Source organism: Homo sapiens, chromosome 18 (assembly GCF_000001405.40).
Source record: "Homo sapiens chromosome 18, GRCh38.p14 Primary Assembly".
NCBI lineage: Eukaryota > Metazoa > Chordata > Mammalia > Primates > Hominidae > Homo > Homo sapiens.
The window spans coordinates 59,138,004-59,164,875 of record NC_000018.10 but is presented as its reverse complement, the minus strand read 5'-3'; the positions used below and the strand labels follow the sequence as shown (position 1 = coordinate 59,164,875).

Genomic DNA, 26,872 nt, shown 5'->3' with positions numbered 1-26,872 from the left:
AGATTTTTGAAAAGAGAGGAATTCAACCTCATAGATGAGTTTGAGAAATGAGACTTACAAAGGAATATGGCAATGGAAGTTGCATGTTTTCTCCAGACATAAACACTTAATAAAAATGCTATGATGTGGGTATAGACAAACGAATTCTGAAGTTTATAGAGAGAGGCAAAAGACCTAGAATAGCCAATACAATATTTAAGGAAAAAATGCAAGCTGGAAGACTGACACTACCCGACTTGAGGACTTACTATAAAGCTACAGTAATCAAGACGAGGTAGTATTGGTAAAAGAATGGACAAATTGATCAATAGAACAGAATAGACAGCTCAGAAATCCATATAAATATAACCAACTGATCTTTGACAAAGGAGCAAAAGCAATACAGTGGAGAAAAGATAGTCTTTTTAACAAATGGTGTTGGAAGAACTAGACGTCCACATGCAAAAACAATCTAGACACTGATCTTCCACCTATAAAAATTAACTCAAAATACATCACAGTCCTAAGTGTAAAACACAAAACTATAAACTCCTAGAAGATAACACAGGAGAAAATCTAGGTAACCTTGGACATGGTGATGACTTTTTAGATATAACCCTAAAGGTATGATCCACTAAAGAGATAATTGGTAAGCAAGACTCCATTAAAATTTAAAAACCTCTGCTCTGCAAAAGACAATGTTAAGAGAATGAGACCAGCAACAGACTGGGAGAATATACATGCAAAAGACACATCTGAAAAAGGACTATTATTCCAAATATACAAGGAACTCTTAAAACTCAACAGTAAGAAAATAACCCTATTTAAAAATGGGGCCAGGCATGGTGGCTTAGGCCTATTATCCCAGGGGAGGCCGAGGCAGGCGGATCACTTGAGGTCAGGGGTTTGAGGCCAGCCTGGCCAACATGGTGAAACCCTGTCTCTACTAAAAATACAAAAATTAGCCGGGCGTGGTGGAAGGCACCTGTAATCCCAGCTACTTGGTACCACTGCACTCCAGCCTGAGTGAGACTTTGTCTCAAAAAAAAGGGCAAAAGACCTGAACAGACACCTCACCAAAGAAGGTATACAGATGGCAAATAAATATGAAAAGATGTTCAACATCATATGTCATTAGGGAAATGCAAATTAAAACAATGAGCTACCATGACATACCTATTAGAATGGCCAAAATCCAAAACACTGAGAACACCAAATTATGGAGAGGATGTAGAGCAACAAAAGCTGATTCATCGCTGGTGGGAATGCAAAATGGTACACCTGCTTGGGAAGACAGTGTGGCCGTTTCTTACGAAACTAGACACAGTCACCATATGATCCACCAATCGTGGATTGTTTCTTGGTATTTACCCAAGTGAGTCTGAAAACTGATGTCCATACAAAAACCCGCACCACTGAGGTTGTGCCACTGCACTCCAGCCTGGGTGACAGAGCAAGACTCTGCCTCAAACAAAAAAAGAAAAAATACATAGAGAAAACTTAAATGTACATTACTAAGTGGAAAAAAAAAAAGCCTAACTGAAAAGGCTACATACCATGATTCCAACTATATGACATACTGGAAAAGGGAAAACTCTGGAGACAGTAAAAATAATCGGTGGTTGAAGGTAGGGAGGGCTGAATAGGTGAAGCATAGGGAATTTTTTATGGCCATGACTCTATTCCGTATGGTGCTATGATGGAGGATAGATGTCATTACACATTTGTCCCAATCCATAGAATGTATAGCACGACGAGTGGATCTCAATGTTAACTATGGACTTTGGGTGATAATGATGCATCAGTGTAGGTTCATTGATTGTAACAAATGAATCACTCTAGTGGGGTGGTAAGTAGTAGTAGAGGCTGTGCCTATGTAGGGGTAGGAGGTATATGGGAAACCTCTATACTTGCCATTCAATTTTGCTATGAACCTAAAACTGCTCTAAAAAATAAGGCCTATTAAAGAAAATATCCTGCAGTATGGCAGAAGCTAAACACTAGTAGGGAAATCATTAAACCTGAGAAGAGGCAGATGACAGACAGTGTTTGGGTGATGGAATGAAGAACAGAGGGAGGCCAGAGGGAATCCTACAGAAGAAGGCCTGGCCACAGCACGTGTGTAGGTAGCGTTCGCTCCCCGCCGGCACAGAACTGGCGCAGAAACAAGACTCAGTGTAAAAGAGGTTTCTGTCCCCCTGCACCATCCTGAAGCTTCATGCAGCTAAAAGCAAGGTCCCTGGGGAAAAAATGTCCCTGCCATAGGATATGTCTGCAACAATCTAGGCGGGCAGATTTAAAATTCAGAGAAAATCTGAGTAGAATTTTATGACCACAGACAACAGAGAAGAGTGTTCAAGAGGATTGGGAGGCTTTAATTAATTCTAAGTGCTCAAACTCAAGTGACCTTGAAGAAGAAATAGTAAAGCTCTGTTTGATTAAATCCAGGCATCCAATAAACTCTTGACCTGCCCTGATGCTAATTCTGGAGATAGGGAAACTGAGTCTGAATTTGTTAAAGATTCCCTGTTTGGTAAGTTGAGGCAGGGCTTAAATCATTGTGTGACTCCCAACTCCTCCTTCTATCCTACCCCACCCCATACTCCTCATTTGAAATGAAGAGAACCTGGCCGGGTGCAGTGGCTCACGCCTGTAATCCCAGCACTTTGGGAGGTCAAGGTGGGCGGATCACGAGATCGGGGGATTGAGACCATCCTGGCTAACACGGTGAAAACTCATCTCTACTAAAAATATAAAAAATTAGCTGGGCATGGTGGCAAGTGCCTGTAGTCCCAGCTACTCGGGAGGCTGAGGCAGGAGAATGGGCATGAACCCGGGCGGTGGAGCTTGCAGTGAGCCAAGATCGCGCCACTGCACTCCAGCCTGGGCAACAAAGCGAGACTCTGACTCAAAAAAAAAAGAAAAGAAATGAAGAGAACCTGATGAACACAAGTGGTAAAGGATGGATCTCAGCCCAGAATCTCAGGATGAGACTAAGTTGATCGCCCAGTGCCCTGGGCCAAAGGCTACTTTGTAAGATGAAGGCTCACCTAGAACTCAAGTGACCATTCAGAGGTTAGCATCATCTTAGTGGGGGAAATGGTGGTGAGAGGATGACACATAGATGCAGTGTGTTTCTGTTTTTTCCTTATGCAATCTGAAAATAACTTCATGAAGCCGAGAAGGAAGATGTGAACAGTCAAGCATCCTAATCACATTTATTCTCAACTAATGTGTGCAGACGTCTGTTTCTCGGTGGTTCTCAATACTGACCACACATTAGTAACCTAGGGAGGTTTTTTTAAAGAACAGATGCCCAAGTTTGCTTCCTCTAAATTAGAGATTCTCTTACCTTGCTAACTTAGAAAGGTTAGGCTTCTTCCTCTTGCCAACAATGCTTCATTTGCCCAGACTTGCAGGGACAGTGGCAGGTCCAAAATCTCAATAGACAGGCGGATTAGTGTCCACAGTCTGGTTGTTGGAGTGTTTGTGCATGTCTGCAGGAGCTCTATTTTTCTAGCATTTGCATAATGTTAACATATTAATTGTCAAGGGGTAAAGGGGTAGAAGAGCAGGACTCAGGCCTGTGGCTTAGGAAATCAACCAGAGGTTCCACCACTCACCTCTTGAAAAAACTGAAGCTCACCCTACCCCGTAGTAGAAACTTGCCAGTCTGGATGAAAACCTAAATTGATCTCAAATGCAGTATGGCAAACGCCATTTAACTTCTTCCTAAGTGTCTTCTTATAACACAGTGTCGCCTTTGTGGATACACCAGGCAGCATCCTGAAATCCTTGCATCTGTTTTTTATAGTTTGTATTCTTCCTCCTCAGTGGGTATTACCTGTCTGGCCATTGTCTACCAGAAACCCTCTACTCTGATGCTTCTAAGCTGTTGCAAAGTGGAAAAGCAGTTGTGTAACCACATGAGAAATGTGTCACATGAACACTGAGAAGCTCCCAATAAGAGGTTCTACCTGATGAATAAACTGCAAGCAGCTTGGATGTTCTAGTGCTGATTTTGTCTGCTCAGACACATCCTTGGTTCGTGTTGATACATTCCAGACACTGAGGCTACAACTGAGAGCCCCAGATAAAAGAACTTCAATCCAACATTAATTGCCATCGCTCCCATTTTATAAGGACCAACAGCATCAGGGAGGTCAAAAGACATCTTTGTCACTAAAATCCACAATTCAATGGCACTGGCTGAGCCCCGTCAGGGTTCTTAGGTGTCTTTGCAAAGCTCATTTCAGAATGTTAGGCATGTTCAAAGAATTACCAAAAAGCTTAGCCATGATAAGAGTTTTTTAAAAATTTAACTACAGAAGCCCAAGAAGATGATAAAATAATATGATTTTGACCCAACATTTTAAAATACCAGTTTTAGGTAAGGGGAAAAAAATCCATTTTTTCTTAAGAAAACAATGTATTAAAGGGCACAAGAGAATAATGTTTTTAGAAAGTATTCTGTAAATCTTTTTTTCTTTCACTTTGCTGATTTCAACAGGATGAGGTCCATTATTGTTGCAATAGCCTATTTTAGTAGAGAGAAAGGATTAAAGGGCAAGCTGTTCCCAGCGGATCACGCCTGCTGGTCCTTACCAAGCCAGGCGCTCACTCAGGAAAATTAACCATACAGGCGTGACACAGGTTTACACTGAAAGGGAAAACATGAGCAACAATAGGGAACGTCTACCGAGCGGATACTGTGGACATGTCAAGGACCATGCGGCTTATTGCTCATGACAGCCCCATTTGGTAAGTGCAGTTCTTATCCTCCATCTGAGGCTGAGGGAAGTTAAGTAACTCACTGGAGGCCACATCGGTGGTTAAGTGACTTTTAGGGCCACTAAATTCTTAGATCAGAATTGAACAAACGTAAAAGAATGAGGTAGATTTGTAAGTCCTGATTGAAAGGATGTCAACATCATTGTATTTGGTGAAAAGAGAACATTTTTGTAAAACTGAAGAGTGCATTTTAAAACATCACTGGCCTCCTTTTGACTCCTCTAACATTTCACTGTGCAAAGTGGGCACCAGCAGCATGAGCATCCTCTGGGAGCATGTTAGAAGTGCGTAGTCAGGCTCACCCCAAACCTCCTGAGTCCACATCAGCAGTGAAGAAGACAGGTGGCTGTGTACTCCTTAAAGTGTGAGAACCCTCTAGCCCGCCAACAGCGCTCCCTTTTCGGGGCCTCTGCACTTGGCTATAATGCGCTTCCCGGGATTTACGTGCTCCACTCCCTCTCATTTCTTTGAACTCTGCTTAATGTCACCTCCTTGGAGGGGTCTCCTCTGACTTCCATCTGAAAAGCAGTGTCCTCTGTCACCCTCTATCTGCTTAACATGCTTTATCTTTCTTCACAGCAATGACCAGTACCTGAAATCACAGGCTCGTGTGTTATCTGTTCCTCCTATTCCAGTGTGAGCTCCGTCAGGGCTGGGACTTTGTACCTCCAGCACATCAGACAGTGGCTGGGTAAAAGTGCTTGATAAATACTTGAAAGAGGGTCTACTTTCTCTGCAGGACTATATATAGTGCAAATATCTAATTTAATGGTGGGTATCCCTGGGAAGTAGAAAGGGAAGACTGAAGAAAGAGACCTTTTGTAGTTTTTGCAATTTTCAACTTTTACCCTTCTGGAGTTTTTGCAACTTTTCAGAGGAGTATGCACCATTTTTAATAATTAAACACTTTTCAAATAATTTAACAAACTATCTCAAGATATATCATACCACAAAACAAAGCAGATTACATCCCTTCCTTCTAAAAGGTTTTGACTTTCTTAGTTTCTCAGATTACACTTTAATAAGAAACTGTGTTCTTTTAAGGGCCCCTTTGTTTCCCCCCAGAAATGTCATTATATTAAGAATTTTACTTTTGAAACTCAGACATTACAACTATACATGTGGACCATGCCTTGCCCCACTAGCAGGCCAGGCCCTAAATAGCCTGCCTGGTTCTTGAAGTGGTGCAGACCCTCAGACTCAGTGTAGAGTCTCCCACAATTGGCAGAGAGATTGAGCAGATTCAAATCAGAGTCCACAAAAGAAAACCATCTTTACTGGTGAATCTTTTATTTGGACAAGACAAAAACATCTCCACACTGTTCCCTTTTATACAGAAAATGGAACATCTCAAATATATTAGTTTTTCTCTTTTTCAACAGAATTCATTTCAATCTGGTCCCAGGAACTGCTTCTCATTTTAGGATTCACGTTTTAGTAACACATATGCACCCATTACAGCCAAAAGAGCATACTGGAAAGAAAACACAATGGAAAATCACTGTGAGGTCTACAAAGAAATTTGGTCTGTAAATGTATTCAGATGAAGTCCGTTAAATACTGCGCTGAGGACAGAATCAAAAGATTACCTCTTCCCCCCATGGCTTGTTCTCTAAATGAGCTGTTCAATGCTACATTATGGTCAAAAACCCAAAAATATACTGATGGACTAAAGATCAGAAAATGAACAAACACAGCAAATGCAGTGCTTACTCCTACGCAGGTTTCCCATTGTTTGTCAAGTGATTTTTTTAAAAAATATGGATACACGCCTGTAATCCCAGCACTTTGGGAAGCCAAGGCGGGCAGATCACCTGAGGTCAGGAGTTCGAGACCAGGCTGTGCAACATGGCAAAACCCCGTCTCTACTAAAAATACAGAAATGAGCTGGGTGTGGTGGCGGGCACCTGTAATCCCAGCCACTAGGGAGGCTGAGGCAGGAGAATCACCTGAACCTGGGAGGCGGAGGTTGTGGTGAGCCGAAATTGTGCCACTGCACTCCAGCCTGAGCAACAGAGCCAGATTCCGTCCAAAAAATATATATATATACACATATGTATACATATATGTGTGTGTATATATATACATATATGTGTATATATTTAGAGAGAGAGAGAGATACCATTTTTGTTGAAGTTGAGAGGTAAGCATTACTGGTTTATGGTACTACTTTTGTGTGTGTATGAAAATTTCCATAATAAAAAGCAACAATTAGATAAATGCCATTTTAGAACACTGAACATACAAGGGGAAAGTAGCTATTTTAAATAATTTAAGTGTTGCTGCTTTAAATGACTACATTAATTTGTAGTTAACTACAGATATTCTGCAGGCCTATTAATGGCAACATGTTTTAAGAAGACTGCCTGTTTACAGTTGCAGAAGTAAAAGCTCCAATATTTAACGAAGTAAATAAATATAGACACACATAAATTCCTACCTTGAATTTTGGATAGTCATTCATTATTATGGTGACCATACCAACATATGGTAAAAACCTAAATTGTGGGATAAAAAGCAAGAGATATAAAAGCTGCTTATAACATGATGATGGCAACATCTGAAAACACTATAGATCAGTCTTAAGAAATGAATTGTACGAGGGAATGCCACTGACCAGGGCTGTAAGGATGTATTCAGCCCTGTCTCAAACAGCTTTATTAGTAAGGAGCATCAGCACTGGCAGCCAGGACAAGTTTTCTAAGTAGGCACTTGGGTTGAGATAGTGATGCTGGTTGTCTTCACTTGCTACAATTAAAATAGTTAAGCCGCTTGTACAAAAAGAATAGGCAACTTTCACAAATCTAGTTTTTATTTAGAAGATAAGATTCAGATAGCCCATATAAAAACTGCTGTTAGATAAAGCTTTCAAAGTACATGAATAATGAGTTTGTAATGCAAATAATTATTTTCATTTCCCAGTGCTTGTCAGATATAACAAATAAATGTATTGGGTAGCAAATACAAATGTGAATACCATAACTTATACTCAAATATGATTATGATCCCAGAGCAAGGAGGTTCAGTGCATAAACCAGCCAACGATTATGCTCACAAAATCAACAGCAATATGTAATCAGATGGACCCAGGTCTCAATCATCTCTGCTCATGGGAAACAAGGTAACACACCCATAGGTACCCTCCAGTCTTTTATAAATCAGTAGTTCCATCCTCTCTCTTATCCAAAGCCTTTCACCAGAGTGTCTGGAAAGACAGGATGGACTAACTGGAAGCCCTCCTGGTCCCCCCGGAGATGTTCAAGTGAAAATGCAACAAAGAAAAATGGTTAAAGGAGGAGGAAGAAGCTGTAAGCCACAATCTGACTAATAACGCTAAACCTGACAAAATGGGAGCCAGTCTCTCCAGCCTTAAAAAGCTAGTGAGATTTAGGTAAGATAAAAAAACATTTCTAATGGCTGTTAAACATAAAAAGGGTTGCCAAGAGAGGGGAAGAATTCCCTTGTTTGGTTTTTAATGAGGATACATTCTCTGTTATGTCAATCAGAAGCAGAACTCATTGCTGGACAACTATACAAAGATGAATACTAAAAGATGTATCACAGAAATGTTTTTAGTTGCGAAAAACAGGAAATAATCTAAGTGTCCACCAAAAGGGGATTGGTTAAATAAATAATTATTCGCAATAAAACAGCTTGTAGCCACTTAAAAAGATACAGATGTAGATTTGACACGAAAAGCTATTTCCAACTTCCTGTTGGGTGAAAAATAATCAAATTCTAAGTAAAATTATATATATGCATAACACACATCTGTACCAGCCCAGAGAGTACCTACAGCATTCCCTGAAATGTTAAACAGTGGTTATCTCTGGGAGACTTTCTTGTAATGGTTATTTAAAATCCACAAATAACTAATCTCTCAGTGAGGATTTATATTTCTTCTTTTTTTAGAACAAATTTTTTAAAATTTTTATTAATAGAGATGGGGTATCCCTATGTTACTCAGGCTGGTCTGGAACTCCTGGGCTCAAGTGATCCTCCTGCCTCAGCCTCCCAAAGGTGCTGGGATTACAGGTGTGAGCCACTGCGCCTGGCTGGATTTATTTTGAAACAGATTTGAACCCATCATATAGATAATATAATTGGGTTCAGTTTTAGATTTTAGGTCTTTAGGAATTTCTAAGTTGTATTTAGTCTTCACAGGATAAACTAGAACTGCTTAAAACTCTCCTGATATGTCATATTTGTAATTAACGACTCATTAGCCTATTGATTTAATTTCTTCATTTCTAAGTGTTTTTCATAACCTTCTATATAACTTAAAGGTGAATCCTCACCCTCTTGCTCTTCCCACCACGTCCTTCTTTTCCAGCCAGTTCTGGCCTTCTTTGTACAAGCCTCTATCATCAACTTCATTATTATCTCCTTTAGTCAGAAATTTGATGTCTCCATTATCTCTGGAAAGCAAAATAATGTCTTCTCAAAAATTATTTTCAGCACAGCATCATTAACAAAAATATTAGTTTACTCAAGACTTTACTGTCAGACAGGAGCATTTAGAAAAACAGTCAAAGATAACCTGACCTTCCTTTAGTCTAAGATGACTGCTTAAGACAACCATTCAACTGAAGCACAAATCTAATGACAGTTTTGTAGACTTAAATTCCAAAACACTCAAGTATCCTTGACAACAAAAAGCATGACCAAGCACAAGGGCAACAATTTGCTTCCAGCACAGCACACAATGAAGAATTCCTTCTTACCACATGGCTTCTGGGAATGACGAATAAACTAGGACCTGACATTTTTTAACCTGTAAACAAGTGTATTAGTGTCATTCATCAGTGGGCAAAATCATGTGAATCACCTCTGTGCAATTCTTTCAAGTCCAGATTCATAACACACAAAAACGCTGCTGACAAGGAGCTTTTCCAGACTCACTTCATTCACCTCAAGTCAGAATAGGTCAGAAGTCAGGTCATGAAGCTGGTTTAACAACCTGTGTTGGACTTGAACTGTTTTCATTCTTAGGCCTCATGGAACAATTTGGTTTTTTGTTTATTTATTTGTTTGTTTGTTTGAGATGGAGTCTTGCTCTGTCACCCAAGCTGGAGTGCCTTGGTGCGATCTCAGCTCACTGCAACCTCTGCCTCCCAGGTTCAAGCGATTATCCTGCCTCCGTCTCTGAGTAGCTGGGATTACAGGTGTCAGCCACCACACCGAGGTAATTTTTGTATTTTTAGTAGAGATGGGGTTTCACCACGTTGGCCAGGCTGGTCTAGAACTCCTGACCTCAAGTGATCCACCCGCCTTGGCCTCCCAAAGTGCTGGGATTACAGGCATAAGCCACCGCGCCCAGCCTCATAGACCAATTTGTTAACATGGATGCTATTCCTCTTCACTCTAGACATAAACTTGATCCTAGATCACACAGATTTGAGCACAAAGTAATTTAAATCCAAGTGTGCTCTAGGCTGTCCTCAGATTTCCTTTTCCTTGCCAAATGCAGAATTTGTTACTGCATTATTTCCTTCACCACTGACCACGGTAGTATAAAGTCAAATTTGCAAGGAAACAAGAATCACAAATGGCATAACACCAGTGTGTTAAAGAGACATGTGGGACTCATTTTAAGCATTCTAAACTGGTACTCAGATAGCCTTGACTCTAGAAACATAATATTGTAGTATTATGGAGCTGTAAAGAGGGTCTTCTTTCAGTAAGACAGATGAAAAAAGAATGCACTATTATAATGAGATAAAATGCCAAAAGCCCCCAAAGATTTGAAACCATATCAAAAAGAGCAAGCTGATTTGCAGCCACGGTTATAAAGGAAATCGGGATAAAAATCCTGACAGTCTCTCATAATTCATGCAAATTAGAGCAAATAATCAACACTTCCTCAACTTGGAACAATTGATCATCTTTAGAAATTAATTGTAAGTCAGTGCGAGTACTGTCACATCATGACTGAGGATGCTTCTTCCTCAGGAATCTAACAGGTAGGCATCAAGTAACCGTTAGTACAGGACCAGTGTATCACCACAGGTTGAAACTGGATTGTTCTCATGTTTAGAGTAATGTGAAGTGAATAAGTATCAATATCTGTGGGGTACACCTGTGAAGAAGCAGTAAATGGGCCGGGCACAGTTGCTCACACCTGTAATCCTAGCACTTTGGGAGGCCAAGGCGGATGGATCACCTGAGGTCAGGAGTTCGAGATCAGCCTGGCCAACATGGTGAAACCCCATCTCTACTAAAAATACAAAAATTAGCCGGGTGTGGTGGCACATGCCTGTAATTCCAGCTACTTGAGAGGCTGAGGGAGGAGAATTGCTTGAACCCAGGAGGTGGAGGCTGCAGTGAGCTGAGATCATGCCATTGCACTCCAGCCTAGGAGACAGAGCCTCAAAAAAAAAAAAAAAAATTAGCCAGGCATGATGGTGCATGCTTGTAGTCCCAGCTACTCGAGAGGCTGGGGCAGAAGAATCGCTTGAACCCGGGAGGCGGAAGTTGCAGTGAGCAGAGATCGCACCATGGCACTCCAGCGTAGGTGACAGCGTGAGACTCCATCTCAAAAAAAGAAGCAGTGAATGGAATGGGAATCTAATACCAGATATGTACAAGTAGTTACCGCTCTCTCTCAAACTCAAACACACACACACACATACACAGTGAGAAATGCTCCATTATTTAAAAACATACCTATGCATACCTAAATTTAATTCTATGACTCACACAGATAAAAATCCACACTAAGCTGCATAAAGGTAAATGAATAACCAAGTATATGAAATGTAACATTTTTACTAATCATGTGAAGTACTCTCTCATGGCAACTTTATATATTTGAGCAAGAAGTAAATGTTTCCGGTTCCAGAAAAGGGTCTTCATAAGTAAGTCACAGCTGGTATTAACAGCAAGGCTGTTTGGGGAGTAGGGGATGGGGCGGTGGAAAAGTAATGCAGAATATGCAACGGCCAAATCATGAGATGAGTTGGAAAATGAATTTTTATCCATCCAGGACTAATATTACTGCTGAAAATGCCACTTTGGCCCAAGTAACATAGAAAAACAGCTAGCTTTTTTTGCATTTCAGAAAATAATTTTCATATCAAAACCATCCTCTGTTGCAATGTGACTTGATTTTCTTTGAGCTCCTTCAAATAACTAACATGTCATAATACATCATACCTTATATTTGTGCAGCAATTTAAGTTTATGAATTGCTTTAGTAAACATTAGTTCATTTAATTCTCATAATCACTTTGTGAGTTACTATGGGTTTAACTACTACAACTCCCATCCTACAGAAAGAGTTAAGCATTTGGTCCAAAGTCACCCAGTGAGTCAATGGCAGAACTCAGAACATAATCCAGTGCTTTTACTAGTTTCTAATTAGCCATGAATCTACCAAAAATTTACATAACAAAACCAAAAGGAAATAAAGCCTCTTTACTTTTCATGAACTTTGATTACTCTGTGAACTATTGGAATGTCTCGTCCTTCAACTTTAAAAACAACTATTTCACCAGCTCTGATTGGGTCTTCCCGGAAATTTGTGAGGAACAGGAGGTCTCCTCTGTGAAAGGCCGGCTCCATACTGCCACTGGAAAGAAGCACAAAGTCAGTATCAGCATTACCCTGTGTCCAAAAGGCGATCAGAATAGACATGTCAGAGGTGAAACTCAATAGTCAAGTAGGTCTCAGGAGCTATAAAACGAGCCAATGTGGCTTCCTTCTTAACTGCTCAAGGTGGTAACATGTGCGAAAGGAAATGACTTCTACTGAGATTAACATGTCATGAGCACTGACAGGACCCTCTGCAGTTTGTATCAGGTAGAAAAGAAACCAGGATAATTGTCAACTCTGAAGTAAAAGCTACCAATTTTTAGCTTTAAAAAAAGTCCTGCATCTACAAATATAGTAGTGTTTTCCTCCAGAACTGCAGGCTGACAGCTAGTTAATCATCTAGGGCAATCCCTTCACTTTAGAGCAGGCCTCCAGCACTTAGGATACTGCAATACTTACTTAAGAAATGAGGAACACATGGATGCACTTGGGGAGCAGGACCCGCCCTGATGCCAAACTGAGGGCTGGGACAAAACCGGAACCCAAGTCTTTTGCCTCCTGCACCAGCATCTTTTCCACCATATTCTACAAAAGCCCAATTCTAACAAACATTGACTGGGTTATTGTGGAAGTCAATAAATAATTCCACATGATACCGATTTAAACCTGTGCCAAAATCTTTGGCGGATTCAAAGTAAATTGCGATATGCTGGAAGCTGAAATTTTAAAAATTCATTATATGTATTTGCTCATGCTTTGTTTTAATACGTGAGAAAATAAGACCTAGAAATACAGCTTGACGGGGGCTGTGCAACCAAGGATGAGTAATGGCTGCTGAGCAGGAAGAACCTGAGGAGAATGAACCACTGAAGCTCCGTGGTGCTCTAGTGGAAACAAAGAAAACCATGCCTCCCAACAGGAGTTCGGGAAGCTGGCCCTCCTTCCCCTCCAGCCTGGCCCACCTTGAACATCTCAGCAGGTGCAGAAGGTGGCAGGGAGAAATGCAGCCTGTCACTAAGTACCTTCTGATAGGTTTACGTTTAAGTGAAACCAGTGCCACTAAGTATGGACATGGATGAAGCATTCAAAATCAGCCAATCTGAATGATGGGGGAAAAGGGCTAGAAATACAACTGACTTAAGAGAAAACATCACAGTCAAAACAATTGAGTTTTTCCTCCCCACAATATGAAATTCTATTTTGTCTTCTCTGAAATAAAACATAATTGTTTCAGTGTTAAAAAAAAAAAAAAAGCTAAAATGCTTAAGATAATTTCATCTGTGGCTTCATCCTTACTCCTTCAACAAAATTCCTGAAGATACAGTGGGAAGATGTTGATAGAAAAGTAACGGTTAAGGGAACTGCAGCTAGGAAAAGATCCCTGCACAGACTGCAGAGGCCACAGGTGTCCTGAAGTTGGACATCAAGGGTCATTATCATGTCCTATCAGGAGAGGAGTTCTTTTCAATGTTTCACTAATATCAATGTCTACTTGCTTTCCTCATGGGCCAGATTCCCCCAAAAACCACACATCCCTTAGGGATGTCATTGGTTTATGTTGACAAACCAAATTGCTTTAACATTACAAAGGATGCTTTAAAAAAAAAAAAGTCCCTAAGTGCAGCAATTTCACACTACCTTCTGTGTGCAAGTGTGTCTGTGAGATTTGAGGAGGGCCAGGAAATCTCAGATCTAATGTTGGCTCTGCCAAAAGTTACTGGGAGATGCTTGAGGCTTGGCCTCATTGGGCCTCAGGTTTCTTATCTGTTAAGGGAGAGGGTCCATCTAAATTTGAGGTTTTAAATTTCTTCTTCTTTAAAAAAAAAAAAGCCTTAAAATCCTTCCTTCACATGAAATCTTACCAGGAAGTATAACCACATAAAAGACATGAAGGTGGTGCTGTTGCATGTGAAGCAAGGCTAAGGCTTCCTGAATCCATGAGTGTGCTTCCCTTCTCCCCACTCCTAATCTACCCACCCCAACCCCAGGGGCGTCCCCAAAGCACAGTGTGAACACGAGTGGGTCGGAGGTCCCACAGCTCTGCTGTGAGCTAGGCTGTCCTCAGGCTTCTAAATTCATGAAAACGCGATCTCTAGAAGTGTGCCCCTTGGCCAACCACATGAGGGCGGCCTGGTGAGGCATGGATCATGGCTATGGCCCCACGAGGTGGTGGCAACGCCTGGTGGAGGGAAAGGGCACTGGTTTGGGAGCTAAGAGCCCTGTGTTCTAGCCTCAACTCCTGCACTGGTAGGCTGTGACTCCGCCCGAGTTACTGCCACAGCCTACCATGCCACCTTGAAAACAACAGATTTGATGACCTAAGACACACTGGACCGACAGCGTCTTGAAGCACCTATCAGTTCCCAAACACGGCCATTTGATTTCAAATTGATGTTAAGTTTTTCCCCTTGGATGGCTTTATGGCTGTGTGAAGTTAACTCTAATGTTAACTTTTCTAAAATAAACATGCTGTACTTTTATAAGCATCATAGTCTCAAGAAGATAGTAGCCATCAATACACGAGTATTACTGAAGAAGCTTGAAAAAAATACTAGACACAATGCTACGCACTGGGGATACAGGCTCTCTCTGCCTGTTTGGTACAAAGAAAATGAAGTAACATTTTTAGTTATGTTTAAAAATCAATTTGTATAGAAATAATGCAGGAATACCACATATTATTAAATTGTCATTTGAAATGGATTAGGTACACGAGCATCAACATGGTTAAAGCTCTAAAATGTCTACTAAGAAAGATGAGATTTTTCAAAAGCCAGAAAAAAAACGAAACATTTTCAAAATAGATATCAATAAAGACTAATAATTTATCCAATTAAAATCTTGAATTTTAGCTGTCACGCAGGTTTTCACTTAAGGCTGCCCCGCTCCTCAGGCCCAAGGCAGCCTTGTGATGGAGGTTGGAGGCTGGAGGCCAGCCTGGGGGACCTACCTCAGCACCACCACGATGGGGCTCTCACTGCCTGTGAGCACGATCAAGCCTTTCCATATCATGAGTGCAGAAGACACGATCATGGCGAAGTTTAAAACCTGGTAATAGAGCTGGAATGAAAAAGAGGAAACCACGATGAAAACCAATAGCAGAAGATCCACCAACCTGTGAAGCTGGAGATGCAGTTATCAAACTTTTTCAAAGACATGATTTTAGGACAGGAAACTAACACAAGGTACAAAATTCTGCAGTATTTCAACTTCTGTCCCTGGAAAGAGACTTGCAAATATCATCTCTCCTTAAGTGAGAGAGAAGGGAGGAAAAAAAGAGCAATCTGTGAGGTTTGTCTTGTTAAAGCCTCAAGGAGGCCCTAATCACCTCTTTGGGATTTCCCAGCACCTTATACCCTAGAGAGTTCCACTACTCAAGGCCTGCCACCAGAGCCTCCCGATGCAGACCAGTCCCAGACACAGCGCAGCATGGGGAGCACAGGTCTAACCCAGATCCACACACTGTGGATTCACCTAGAACTACCTTTAGCCTCAAATGGAAGCTTTGGAGTCCTATAGTGCTTGGCAATGAGGCCATCCTGTTCTAAAAATGACATTTTAAAACCAGTGAACAGAAACTCTAAACACCTGGAGGTTTAAATTTTTCATAAATGTTTTAAAAGGTAAATAACAAATATTTGGTTAAGAGCACAGGTGGGGCTGGGCACAGTGGCTCACGCCTGTAATCCCAGCACTTTGGGAGGCCGAGGCGGGTGGATCACAAGGTTAGGAGATCAAGACCATTCTGGCTACCGGTGAAACCCCGTCTCTACTAAAAAATACAAAAGAAAATTAGCCGGGCGTGGCGGTGGGCGCCTGTAGTCCCAGCTACTTGGGAGCCGGAGGCAGGAGAATGGCGTGAACCCGGGAGGCAGAGCTTGCAGTGAGCCGTGACTGCACGACTGCACTCCAGCCTGGGCGACACAGCGAGACTCCGTCTCAAAAAAAAAAAAGGAGCACAGGTGGGAGGGTCACACGAGTTGATGCATAAGCACTAGTTACATCAGCTCTGAGAAGGAGGTGAAAGCCCACCCGATCTACCTCAGACCACTGCGTTTAGACCCACTGGGCTTGCCTCGCTCCCTGCAGCATGGCATGGGCTGAAGCACAGGCTCTTCCTTGCTGACAGCTGCCTGCTGCACCTGCCAACTCCTGGTGACTAAAGGAGAAAACAACACCTGCCCATGTGCCAACACCTTGTCAGGCTGGAGCTGACCTGTCAGCCCAAACATCCGCCTTCCTTCCAGGCGCAAGAGGGACTAACGCTGCTGTGGCTAGCACCACTCAAAATCAAAGCCCCTCACGGCATTGCCAGCACCGCCCTCCAGGGAGGCTCCTTACTTTGGTACCTGCCTCAATCTTCCTCTTCACAATCCTGCAGTTGTTGGGGTGATCTGCAGAGCCAGGTGGGTGGTCCATCAACACTGTGCTGTCTCAATTCCTGGGCCCCCATCCACATCTCCAAAGATCTTCCCTCCACTGGGACCACTCACTCTCAGCAACACACCCTAGAACCAAAATGGCTCTATCCCCACGTGGGTCTCTGCTTCAATGACCCCCTTCCACCGGGCCACAGGTGCCTATTCTCCTGGCATCTGTGCTCACTTCTGTGTACACCTGAGGACCGTGTTCTGTGTACATCTGAGGTCCTTCACCCCTCACTTCTGTTTTTATACCCTCAGCATGCAGTGTGCACAGTCACTTATAGGGTGGGAGCCATAACCCCCACCAGGCCTGGCAGCTTTTCCTCCAGAGATTTCTGTTCCCCTCTCCAGGGAATGAACTCCCAGACCTCTGCTGAGGAGGGTGAGGCCTCTGGGTGGAAGACAAGGAGAGCGAGGGGTCTCACTGCTTCTCTGCTTTTCTACCCAATCAAACTGATTTCAGCCCTACGGTCCCCTTCACCTTCAGTTCTGGGGACACCAATTCCTGGGTCTCTGAGGACTCTCTCTGCCTCACAAACCTGAAGAGCCACAGCCTCCCCCAGTGCCGCTCACATCCTGGCTTTCTCTGGCTGTGCCAGTTCCCATTCTTCCATCTGTTTTCCAGCTTCTAGTATTTGGCTGATCTTGTTTCCTTTTCCCGGGCGTATCCTGGAGTAACTGATAACTTCTAAACTCTCCTTGCTATTAATATAGTTTTAGTGTTTTGGAGGCAGTGATGTTAGACAGGTTAGATCCCACCTTAGCTCCCTACCAGCTTTCCAGAACATACTTTTGAATTGAGTTTGGAGTGAGGACCTGGATCACGTGGCTCTGGGCAACATCATTTTCCTCAACTATCCAAATTTAATATTAACTGAGATGGAATGTGGTGGTATGAACTCTTTTTGAGCATTGAGTACAACTTAAAATACAGTTTTAAACACAGTTTAAATACAGTTTAAAATACACAAGGCCTGGAAAAGTCGGAGTGAAAGACACTCGGGAAGTCCAAATGGAGACTTTGCCAGGTGGTTCTACGTGGTTCTGACTTCTCAGTGTCCGGACAGTTCTTTACAGCAGCAGCGCAAGCATCAGCGTGCACTAGGATCAGCTGGCGATGCCTGAGGACTGCACTTCAGACACATTCCCAGGTGACACGAAAGCTGCTGGAGTGGGAATCACAGCTGAGAACCACTGCTCTATACCATTGGTTCTCAACCTTGGCTGCACCTCAGAATCATCGGGGAAGCCCTGGAAAGTCCATCCCAGACCAGCTGGATCACTGGGAGGGGTGGGGTGATTCTGAGGTGCAGTGAAAGTTGAATCACGGCTCTATACCTCCTCCTCCCATCAGCTAAAGACTCTCCCATCGCAAACCCTTCCTCCACCTCACATCCTCCTCCAGCTTTCACACTCTCTTCTCCTTCACAGCTCTTCTCAAAACAGTGTCTACCCCAAGTTGCTCCCCTTCTTCACCATCTATATTCAGTCCTCAACCTACATAGTCAGTCACATGCTCACTAAATCCAAAGGATAACTGTCGGCCCTCACCTTACCTGACCTTCCAGCAGCTCTCAACACACATGATCATTTCTTCGAACCCTCAGCCCCTGCCTTCCAGGATGGCATGCCATCCACTTCTCACCACTTTCTTGTCTTCCTGCCAGTTGCTCCTCCTCTACCTGAATCTCCTCCTCTACCTGAATGCTGGCATTGGTCCCATCAGGCTAACTACTCCCAATTCAGAGACTTCCAACTGCCTACCTGATGTTTCCACTTAGATGTCTTTAAAGATACCCCATCCTCAACATGTCAAAATTAAACTTACCTTCTCCAAAAGCTTTCAGTATTAGGGATCCTTCTCTCAGTAAATGACATTATTATCACCCTGCTGTTTGGAGCCACCCCCTACCCATTCATTCTATACATTCTGGCTTTCCAAACACGTCTGGAGTTTGTCCAGGTCTCTCTATTCCCACTGCTGCCACTCTCATCATATCACCAACGGGGCCCATCAGGCTGCTGTGAAGCCTCATGACAGGTCTCCTAATGCCCATGCACACCTCTTCTGATCCATTCTCTGTGATACACTCTGGGCGGTCATGCGCCACTTCATGACAGACACATTCTGAAAAATGCGTTGTTAGGTGATTTTATTGTTGTTTGAACATCATAGAGTGTACTTATACAAACCCAGATGGTGTCGCTTACTATACCCCTAAGCTATACGATGTAGCCTATTGCTCCTAGGCTAGAAACCTGTGCAGCATGCTACTGTACTGAATACTGCAGGCGACTGTAACACACTGGTAAGTATTTATGTAACTAAACATAGAAAAGGCACAGTAAAAATATGGTATAATTTTTTGGGACCACCATCATGTATGCAGTCCACCATTGATGGAAACATCATTATATGGTGCTTGACTGTACTGGTTTTCAAATGCACATCTGGTCACCTGGTTGTCTATGCCCTGCCTAAAGCCCTTTGATTGCATCCCACTACTCTGAGGATGAAGACTAAACTACAATATGGCCTCTAAGGCCCTGTCTGATATAACCCTGCAGCCCCGCTTCAGCCTGTGAAGCTCGCCTCACCCCAGCTGCACTGGTGGTATCTGTCCATGCTTCCACCTCACATGCTTCTTTCCACCCCAGGGCCTTTACCCAGAAGGCTCCCTCCCTGAACCCCTTAGTTTACCAAACACTCACCTTTACATCCACCTTTAAATGTCAGTGTCCAACAGAACCCTGCCCTGACTGGCTAGACCAGAAATCAGCAAATTTTTGTGTAAAGGGCTAGACAGTAAATATTTTATGTTTACGGGTCACATAGTCTCATTGAAACTACTCAGCCCTGCCAATGTAGCGGGAAAGCAGCCATAGACAATATGTAAAAGAAAGAGCATGGCCGTGTGCCAATAAAACTTTACAAAAACAGGTGGTGCAATGGGGTTTGCCAATCTCCACTCTGGCCAGCCTAGGTCTTCCTATTATATATTCTCACTGCATCCTGTATTTCTTTGTATCGTTCATCAGCATCATAATTAAGCATATAATTACCTAATGTGTCTTTTGCATTAGACCTTACATTCCACAAAAGTAGGGATCATTTCAGCCTTGCTCATAGCTGTATCCTCAAGATTCAACATGGGTTTGGCAAAAGTTAAGTATTCAATTTGTTGAATAAATAGTGATAAAATAAACATCTTTAATGGTGAGTGCAAACAAATCAGCAATAAGAAAAACACTAAAATTCCAACAGAAAAAGGTAAAAGCTTAAAACTATAATTTTCCAAAGGAAAATACAAGTAGTAAATAAACATAAAAAATGTTCAAACCAATAATCCTGCCTCTACCCTCCTTGCAACCCCTTCCTTTTTTTTTGTTTCTAGCAACTTTTTTTTTTTTTTTTTTTTTTTAAGATACAAGGTTTCAGTCTGTGGCCTAGGCTAGAGTGCAGTGGTGCAACCATAGCTCACCACAGCCTCAAACTCCTGGGCTCAATGGATCCTCCCACCTCAGCCTCCCAAGTGGCTGGACTACAGGCATGTGCTGGCATGCCTGGGTAGTTCTAAATTTTTTTCTTTGGTAGAAATGGGGTCTTTTTATGTTGCTCAGGCTGGTCTTGAACATACTAGCCTCAAGCAATCCTCCCAAAGTGCTGGGACTATAGGCGTAAGCCACCACACCTAGCCTTTGCCTAAGAAATTTAAAGTGTCTGGTTTTTTTATTGTTGTTGTTAATACTAATACTTAGTGCTAGCAAGAATACACTGTGATGGGGATACAAATTGATAAACCATTCTGAAAGCTATTTGGCATTAGTATTAAGAGGTTACTCTTGGCCCATAATCCTACTTCTAGGAATTCAGTATAAACTAAAGGCAGGTTGAGAATTATGGCCCGAAGACATTTATTACAGTCTTAATTCTAATAATGTGGAAAAGGAAATAAATGAGCAACAATATGGAAATAACTGAGTAGAAAGTGGGGCCAGGTGCAGTGTGGCTCATGCCTGTAATCCCAGCACTTTGAGAGGCCGAGGTGGGCGGATAACCTGAGCTCAGGAGTTCAAGACCAGCCTGGCCAACATGGTGAAACCCGATCTCTACTAAAGATGCAAAAATTAGCCAGGCATGGTGGTGCATGTGCCTGTAATCCCAGCTACTCGGGAGGCTGAGGCACAAGAATCGCTTGAACCCGGGAGGCGGAGGTTGCAATGAGCCGAGATTGCACCACTGCACTCCAGCCTGGGTGACAGAGCAAGACTCCATCTCAAAAAAAAAAAAAAGAAAATGGCAGATTACTCCACTATTTAAAACAATGCATAAAGAACTTAATGGGAGTGGAGGAGAAAGCGGGTTGGGTTGGGGGAGGAAAATAAAAAGGAACTTTAATGACATGACCAAACACAGTATGTTGAGTGAAAAATGTAAGCTGCAGTAGGATCTCACCAAACGATAAAACAAATACAAAGAGATGCCCCAAGACGCTAAGAGAGGCTATTTTAGGATAGTGAAATTATGAGTCATTGACTTTTCTTCTTTAAACTATTCTCTATTCTGAAAACAAACTCTGACTGATGTAGGAAAAGCAGAGCTCAGAACTGTCTCTTGCTAATGTTAAAACTGTAAAAATAGGTAATTTGAGGCAATAATGAAGGATACAACTGAAAGTGAGGACATAAATGAATTAAGATAATTGTTAATGTATTTTGGTGCAATAAATCAAAATAGGAAAATAAATATAATTCAACATTAAAGTTACACACTTTTTTTTTTTTTTTTTTTTTTTGAAATGGAGTCTCACTCTGTTGCCCAAACTGGAGTGCAATGGCGCGATCTCTGCTCACTACAACCTCCGCCTCCTTGGCTCAAGTGATTCTCCTGCCTCAGCCTGCCGAGTAGCTGGGATAACAGGTGTGCACCACCACACCCGGCTAATTTTTATATTTTTAGTAGAGACGGGGCTTCACCATGTTGGCCAGGCTGGTTTTGAACTCCTGACCTCAAATGATCTGCCCGCCTCGGCCTCCCAAAGTGCTAGGATTACAAGCGTGAGCCACTGCACTCAGCCTACACACCATTTTTAAAAGCGACTTGGCTACTGTGTCAATAGCAAATTATGAAACTATCACTATATTCCCAGGAGAGTGAAAAAGGAAACTGGAGTGCTAAGCAGACATTGACAAAGTGTTGGGCTATAATATGTTAAACCATTGCTTCTTCTGGTTCCATGGATTAAGTTCTTTAGTGGTGATTTCTAAGATTTTAGTGCAGCTGTCACCGGAGCAGTGTACACTGTACCCAATATGTAGTCTTTTATCCCTCATCAAATGAAGAATATTTACCAGAAAGTTGCCATGAAACAATCAAAGCCTTTACACCATTTCACCATAAGCTCAAAGAGCATAACGGAAAAAATCAAAGATCACAAAGCAAATACTTAAGAATGCAAAGAAGTGAGCCGTTAGAAGAGATAAAACATTCATGTCTTCATTCAATAAATATTGAGATTCCAACAACAACAACAAAACACTGCTTCTAAAGTAAAATCAGCCTTACAAGTCACGTCACTCTAAAGCAGAAGCTGTTCACTGGAATTTACATTCAAAAACCTCCCCACCGGCTCTGCCTGACTTAAAGGATTTGATAAATAACCGCTGTTTCATTATGAATTACAGATCTGATGAGGAAAGCCCCAAACCATGGTTTTAAACAACGATTGCCGTTTTCAGACAAGTTTTCAAGTCATCTGGCTCCACCCCGATAAAATCTTGCCACTTAGCCAGTAAAGAACTTGTACCAAGAATATATTTTCCAGTATAATTTCCCATGCTTGAAAAGTTCATTAAGGGAAAGCAAAATCAATTCCTCAAAAAAACTTCCTTTGAGCAAGCCATCTACCTGCTAAGGAAATGTCCAAATACACAAAAATATAAAAATCAAACTAAGAAACCACAGATCACACTTTTAACACCTTAACTTTAAGAAACCTACGAATCAGATTCTAGGCATAAAATCCTGGAATCCAGAAAAGTAATTTTGATTGAACTACTGACAAGCTGACTGCGGTCTGGAAAAAAAAAACCACCACCATGTTTCACAGGTGCTTTTGTTGTTGTTCACCTTTGCCTACCAACTTTGTATGCTCAGCACTTAATGCTCACAGCAGAGTGTAGAACTAAGTCCATACTCAGTCATTGTCAACCAATGATGAAACAGCCAATGTCTAAGAGTTTTAAGCAAACATTTCAGATCAAATATTCTGGCTGACAGCAGCAGCACTGCCAGTAGCTGTATTTCTTCCTCTCTTCCTCACTGCAGAAACAAAGAGCCCTTGTGTTGCATGTGGGTCCTGCTTTAATAGTAAGCAGGGGCAGCAGAGAAAGAAGGTCCTGCTTTCAAGACTGGTGGAGCATGCAGGCCTGACAAAGTGTCATAAGATGCTATTTTGGAGGGAAGAAGAGAAAAAAAAAAAAAGACAAAGCTTTTTTAAAAAGTACCAAGAAGCAGTAGATTTGAGCTTGCTGAATTTTAATTAGAAGACTAGCAAAACAGGCAATACAGCCAGCTACTGGCAGGCCTTATCGCTGAGAGCAAAAACACACTGATCTTTCAAAGGGCAAACTGGTTTAGGGATCAATACACTCATCAGAGGGCCTTTTCTGACAGTCTGCAATTATAGCCATCAGTAATCAGTACCAATTTTAGAGACACTTTAAAAACCCAGCCATTAAGTCTAGATTTTTAAACAAAGCTCTGCTTCCTGGAGGATATTCTTGTGAACAGCATCAATGCTCAGGACATTAGCAGTTACTTTTTTAAGCTGGTGATAATCTCTACTACAACTCATCTTCCAGAAACAGGAGTCATCAGCTTTGCACACCTAGACACTACCACATCCTAAACACGGTTGATGAAATAGAAATTATCAAACTTTCCCACACTACTGCACTAGTCTGAAATTCTACTTGGGGAAGGGGGAGGAGAGTGAGAGGGGAAAAACACGTATGCCTAAAGGAGTAAGCTGTGACCTCCCATGGGCACCACCCCACATCTCAACATGATGGAGCAAATGAAACTGGATGCCATCAAAATAATGAGGATTAATACCATTTTCAAAGACAATCAAAACTCCCTGGTTGGAAGGTCCCATTTTTCTTAGCACAATTTATTAGTAGCAATAGTGGCATTAGTATCCACCGTGATATTCAGGTCCTACAGGTCCCCCAAATTCTCTACCTAGAAGCCTACATAGTCGTATTTTTCCTGACTGAGAGGGCTTCCTTTCCAATCCCTACTCACTCTTAACCTTATAGTGAAGAGATAAGGCCCCAAAGACAGTGATGATGGCCAATAAGTGGCTAAAAAGAGAGCAAGAGGAACGTTTTCCTCTGAGGTCCTCTCACAAAGGAGAGGGAATTCAACCACCCCAGCTGCCCAAAGACCCTACACTGCCTCCTATATTCAGAGTGCAGCCATCTCAGAAGTTAGAGAAGGCTTCTGGAATCTCGCTGGGAACACTGGTTGAGTCCACAATGATTGCGCACAGCTTGTGAGCTCTCTAGGCACAAGGAGCATTATTTAGTCCCGACCCACGGTCAGGGGAAAAACAACTGCCCAGGCTGGGAAGAAACTGCTTTGGGAGGCATCGCTGGACAGCTCCCGTTGTAGGAAAGTTCTTCCCTCTCGCCTGCCTTTCTGCCTCTTCCACCTGCCGGCAGTCAGGCCTCTGAAGCCCCACAGAGAAATCGGTTCCCTCTTCACCGGGTGGCCCTTCAAATACGCTCAGAGAGCTGTCGTTCACCGAGTCATCTCTCCCACAAGCGTGGCTGTGGCATTCTCAACCACATTTGACATTCCATGGCACGGGGTTTCTATTCTCCCCTTTCCTGCACCCTCCCCTAATTGTGCTCTTGTCAGGGCAAGGAAGTGCACACCCATGCCCACACGTAGGCGTAGAACCCAGGGCCTGAGAGCCCAGCGCGGGAGCTTCGGGTGGCCGCCCGGCCGCATTCACTGGGAGCCGGAGCCCTGACTGGGAAGCCCCGACTCCCCGCTAGCACAGGCGGTCCCGGCCACGGCGCGCTCACCACCCTCCTCCGTCACCTGGCGCTTGTTCATCTTCTTCAGGTCCCCGAAGATATCCAAGCCGGACGCGGGGAGATGAGCCCCCACGGCGCCCGCACGCACCATAGCAGGGTCTCCGGGGACCTAGCGGCCCGCCGGCTCTGGGTGGCACAGACGGCTGCGGAGCACCTGCCGGCCCCCGCCCACCGGCCCAGCGTCCTTGCGGCCACGTGACCGGCGACTCGCTTGGGCGTCTGGGAATCGTAGTCTCGCCAGTCTTGGGCACTGGCCAGCCAGGAATGAACCTGAAGGAAGAAAACTACCACTCCCAGAATGCTGCGGGGTGGGCACCTCGGCCAGTGAAGACCCGGGGCTCCTAGGGAGGGCAGCTACAGGGCTCCGGAGCCTTGTCCGACCCTTCGGAGGGAACATCGAGCAGCGAGTGACCCCGCATACCTCGGGGGGCAACTCGGGGAAGGGACTACTCAAGAGGAGCTGAATTTCCCGACTCTGGTCAGGCGCCAAGAGGACACCTAACTCCCGCTCGCAAATCACCTAGCCGTGTATCTTGGCTATTGGATGACTGCAGCGAGGAAAGGTGGTGCCTCTACGCTGGGGCGGGCTGAGCCGAATTGGGGCGGGGCCTAAAGATGGACTGCGGTGGGCGGGGCTTGGAAGAGGCGGGACTTTTGAGGCCGCTGAATTCTGCATTTTGAGTGGTACCACTTGTATGCAAGGAAGTATCTTTGAATGCCTTGACCATAATTGGGTTGCAATAGATATTAATTAAATGAATACATAACCACCTAATTTCATACACGAGAAAGCAAAGGCCCAGAAAGGTTCATTGACATGGCCAAGGTTAAGTGGAAATGAGTGGAATATAACTCAAAGTTTTAAATTTAGAAGTCCTAGATCATCACAGTTCTGATCCTAGATTACCTTTGGTTCATTCACTCACTCGTGTATGCATTATGCATTCTTTATTGTATTTATTTATCCACAAATCTTTATGGAGCACCTACCATGCACCTGGCCTTGTTCTAGGCACTTGAGAAACATCAGTTAACAAAACAAGCAAAGATTCTTGCCCTCATGAAGCTTATATTCTACCGAAGGCAGACATAATGGATAATTTATACGGTACCTAAAGGATGGAGGTGCTATGACAACAGGAAAAGCAGATAAGTTGAATGGGGAGGTCTGGGGGAAAGGATCAGGTTGCAATTTAAAATATACCAGAAGCTGACTTACCATGAAGCTAATGAAAGGTAAGTTCTGGGACCCTTCAATTGCAAAGGTGTTTTTCCAAGGTGTGGGAGAAACTTAACCATAGAATGTGTAAAACTTTCAAAAGCAAGATATTGCAATTGCTATTGGTTAAGAGTTCTGTTTCTTTGCATTCCAACTTCACCTCCATTACATTTCCCCTCCTGTTGGAGGGACAAGGAGAATTTTGGGGATCCAGCTAAGGAGGAAACGAGTTGGAGATACATTTGGTTTGAGTTTAGTGAATTTATTTATGTGGTTCATGGTCTTTCCTGCCATCCTCGTGTAAAAAATGGCTTCTGGGAATACTGCCATCCACTGGGCCAACTCACCTGGCACCGTGGCAGGAAGTCCCACTGGAAGTGGCATCTGATATGAAAGTGTTCTGCAGCACTTGACCTTGGAAATAAGTGGATGGAGAGGAAAAACAAGGTTTGAAATGTACAGATCCAGAAGCTAGTCTGTGTAAAATTCTTCCAAATATCAGATGTATAAAATTATAAGTGCAAGACACAGTGCTTAGTACATAGGAAGATATGGTGATAGTTAACCCTGCCACTAATAATTGCTGGAACTAAGGTGGCAGCACTAAAGGTTCAGAATCTGGATACATTTTGAAGAAAGAGTCTTCAGGATTTTTTGAAAGAATAAATATAGGGCGTGAAAGAAGAAAAGAGATTGAGGCTGACTCCAGGGTTTTTAACCTATGGAACTAGAAGGGTAGAGTTCCCCTCAACTTCAATGAGGAAAGCTGTGGGTGGAACAGGTTTGTGGGAATAGAGTAAGGGTCCAAAATGTGACC

General features: G+C 43.0%; 1 protein-coding gene across 3 annotated transcripts, besides 7 other annotated features; it reads right to left on the bottom strand.

Moving 5' to 3' along the window:
• Window positions 1-6,043: 6,043 nt before the first annotated feature.
• On the bottom strand, window positions 6,044-24,992 carry SEC11C (SEC11 homolog C, signal peptidase complex subunit). Of its 3 annotated transcripts, XM_011526260.4 has the most exons (7): window positions 24,841-24,992; window positions 16,645-16,811; window positions 15,254-15,363; window positions 12,191-12,340; window positions 9,069-9,188; window positions 7,211-7,268; window positions 6,044-6,244 (listed from the first exon to the last, which is right to left on the bottom strand). In XM_011526260.4, exons 2-7 carry the CDS (start codon window positions 16,720-16,722, stop codon window positions 6,191-6,193), a joined length of 570 nt encoding a protein of 189 aa, XP_011524562.1. In that variant the 5' UTR covers window positions 16,723-16,811; window positions 24,841-24,992; the 3' UTR covers window positions 6,044-6,190. The 3 variants fall into 3 exon arrangements, with proteins under 3 accessions (XP_011524562.1, NP_150596.1, NP_001294870.1); NM_033280.4 differs by lacking the exon at window positions 16,645-16,811; NM_001307941.2 differs by lacking the exons at window positions 7,211-7,268; window positions 16,645-16,811.
• Window positions 20,284-20,333: an enhancer, noted in NCBI's record as "active region_13412". NCBI's record gives its function as "activates an Ori minimal core promoter by ATAC-STARR-seq in GM12878 lymphoblastoid cells {active_cell/tissue: GM12878}" and the evidence as "EXISTENCE:reporter gene assay evidence [ECO:0000049][PMID:35858748]".
• Window positions 22,250-22,349: an enhancer, noted in NCBI's record as "active region_13411". NCBI's record gives its function as "activates an Ori minimal core promoter by ATAC-STARR-seq in GM12878 lymphoblastoid cells {active_cell/tissue: GM12878}" and the evidence as "EXISTENCE:reporter gene assay evidence [ECO:0000049][PMID:35858748]".
• Window positions 23,168-23,217: an enhancer, noted in NCBI's record as "active region_13410". NCBI's record gives its function as "activates an Ori minimal core promoter by ATAC-STARR-seq in GM12878 lymphoblastoid cells {active_cell/tissue: GM12878}" and the evidence as "EXISTENCE:reporter gene assay evidence [ECO:0000049][PMID:35858748]".
• Window positions 24,953-25,092: a silencer, noted in NCBI's record as "silent region_9491". NCBI's record gives its function as "represses an Ori minimal core promoter by ATAC-STARR-seq in GM12878 lymphoblastoid cells {active_cell/tissue: GM12878}" and the evidence as "EXISTENCE:reporter gene assay evidence [ECO:0000049][PMID:35858748]".
• Window positions 25,133-25,232: an enhancer, noted in NCBI's record as "active region_13409". NCBI's record gives its function as "activates an Ori minimal core promoter by ATAC-STARR-seq in GM12878 lymphoblastoid cells {active_cell/tissue: GM12878}" and the evidence as "EXISTENCE:reporter gene assay evidence [ECO:0000049][PMID:35858748]".
• Window positions 25,313-25,402: an enhancer, noted in NCBI's record as "active region_13408". NCBI's record gives its function as "activates an Ori minimal core promoter by ATAC-STARR-seq in GM12878 lymphoblastoid cells {active_cell/tissue: GM12878}" and the evidence as "EXISTENCE:reporter gene assay evidence [ECO:0000049][PMID:35858748]".
• Window positions 25,513-25,562: a silencer, noted in NCBI's record as "silent region_9490". NCBI's record gives its function as "represses an Ori minimal core promoter by ATAC-STARR-seq in GM12878 lymphoblastoid cells {active_cell/tissue: GM12878}" and the evidence as "EXISTENCE:reporter gene assay evidence [ECO:0000049][PMID:35858748]".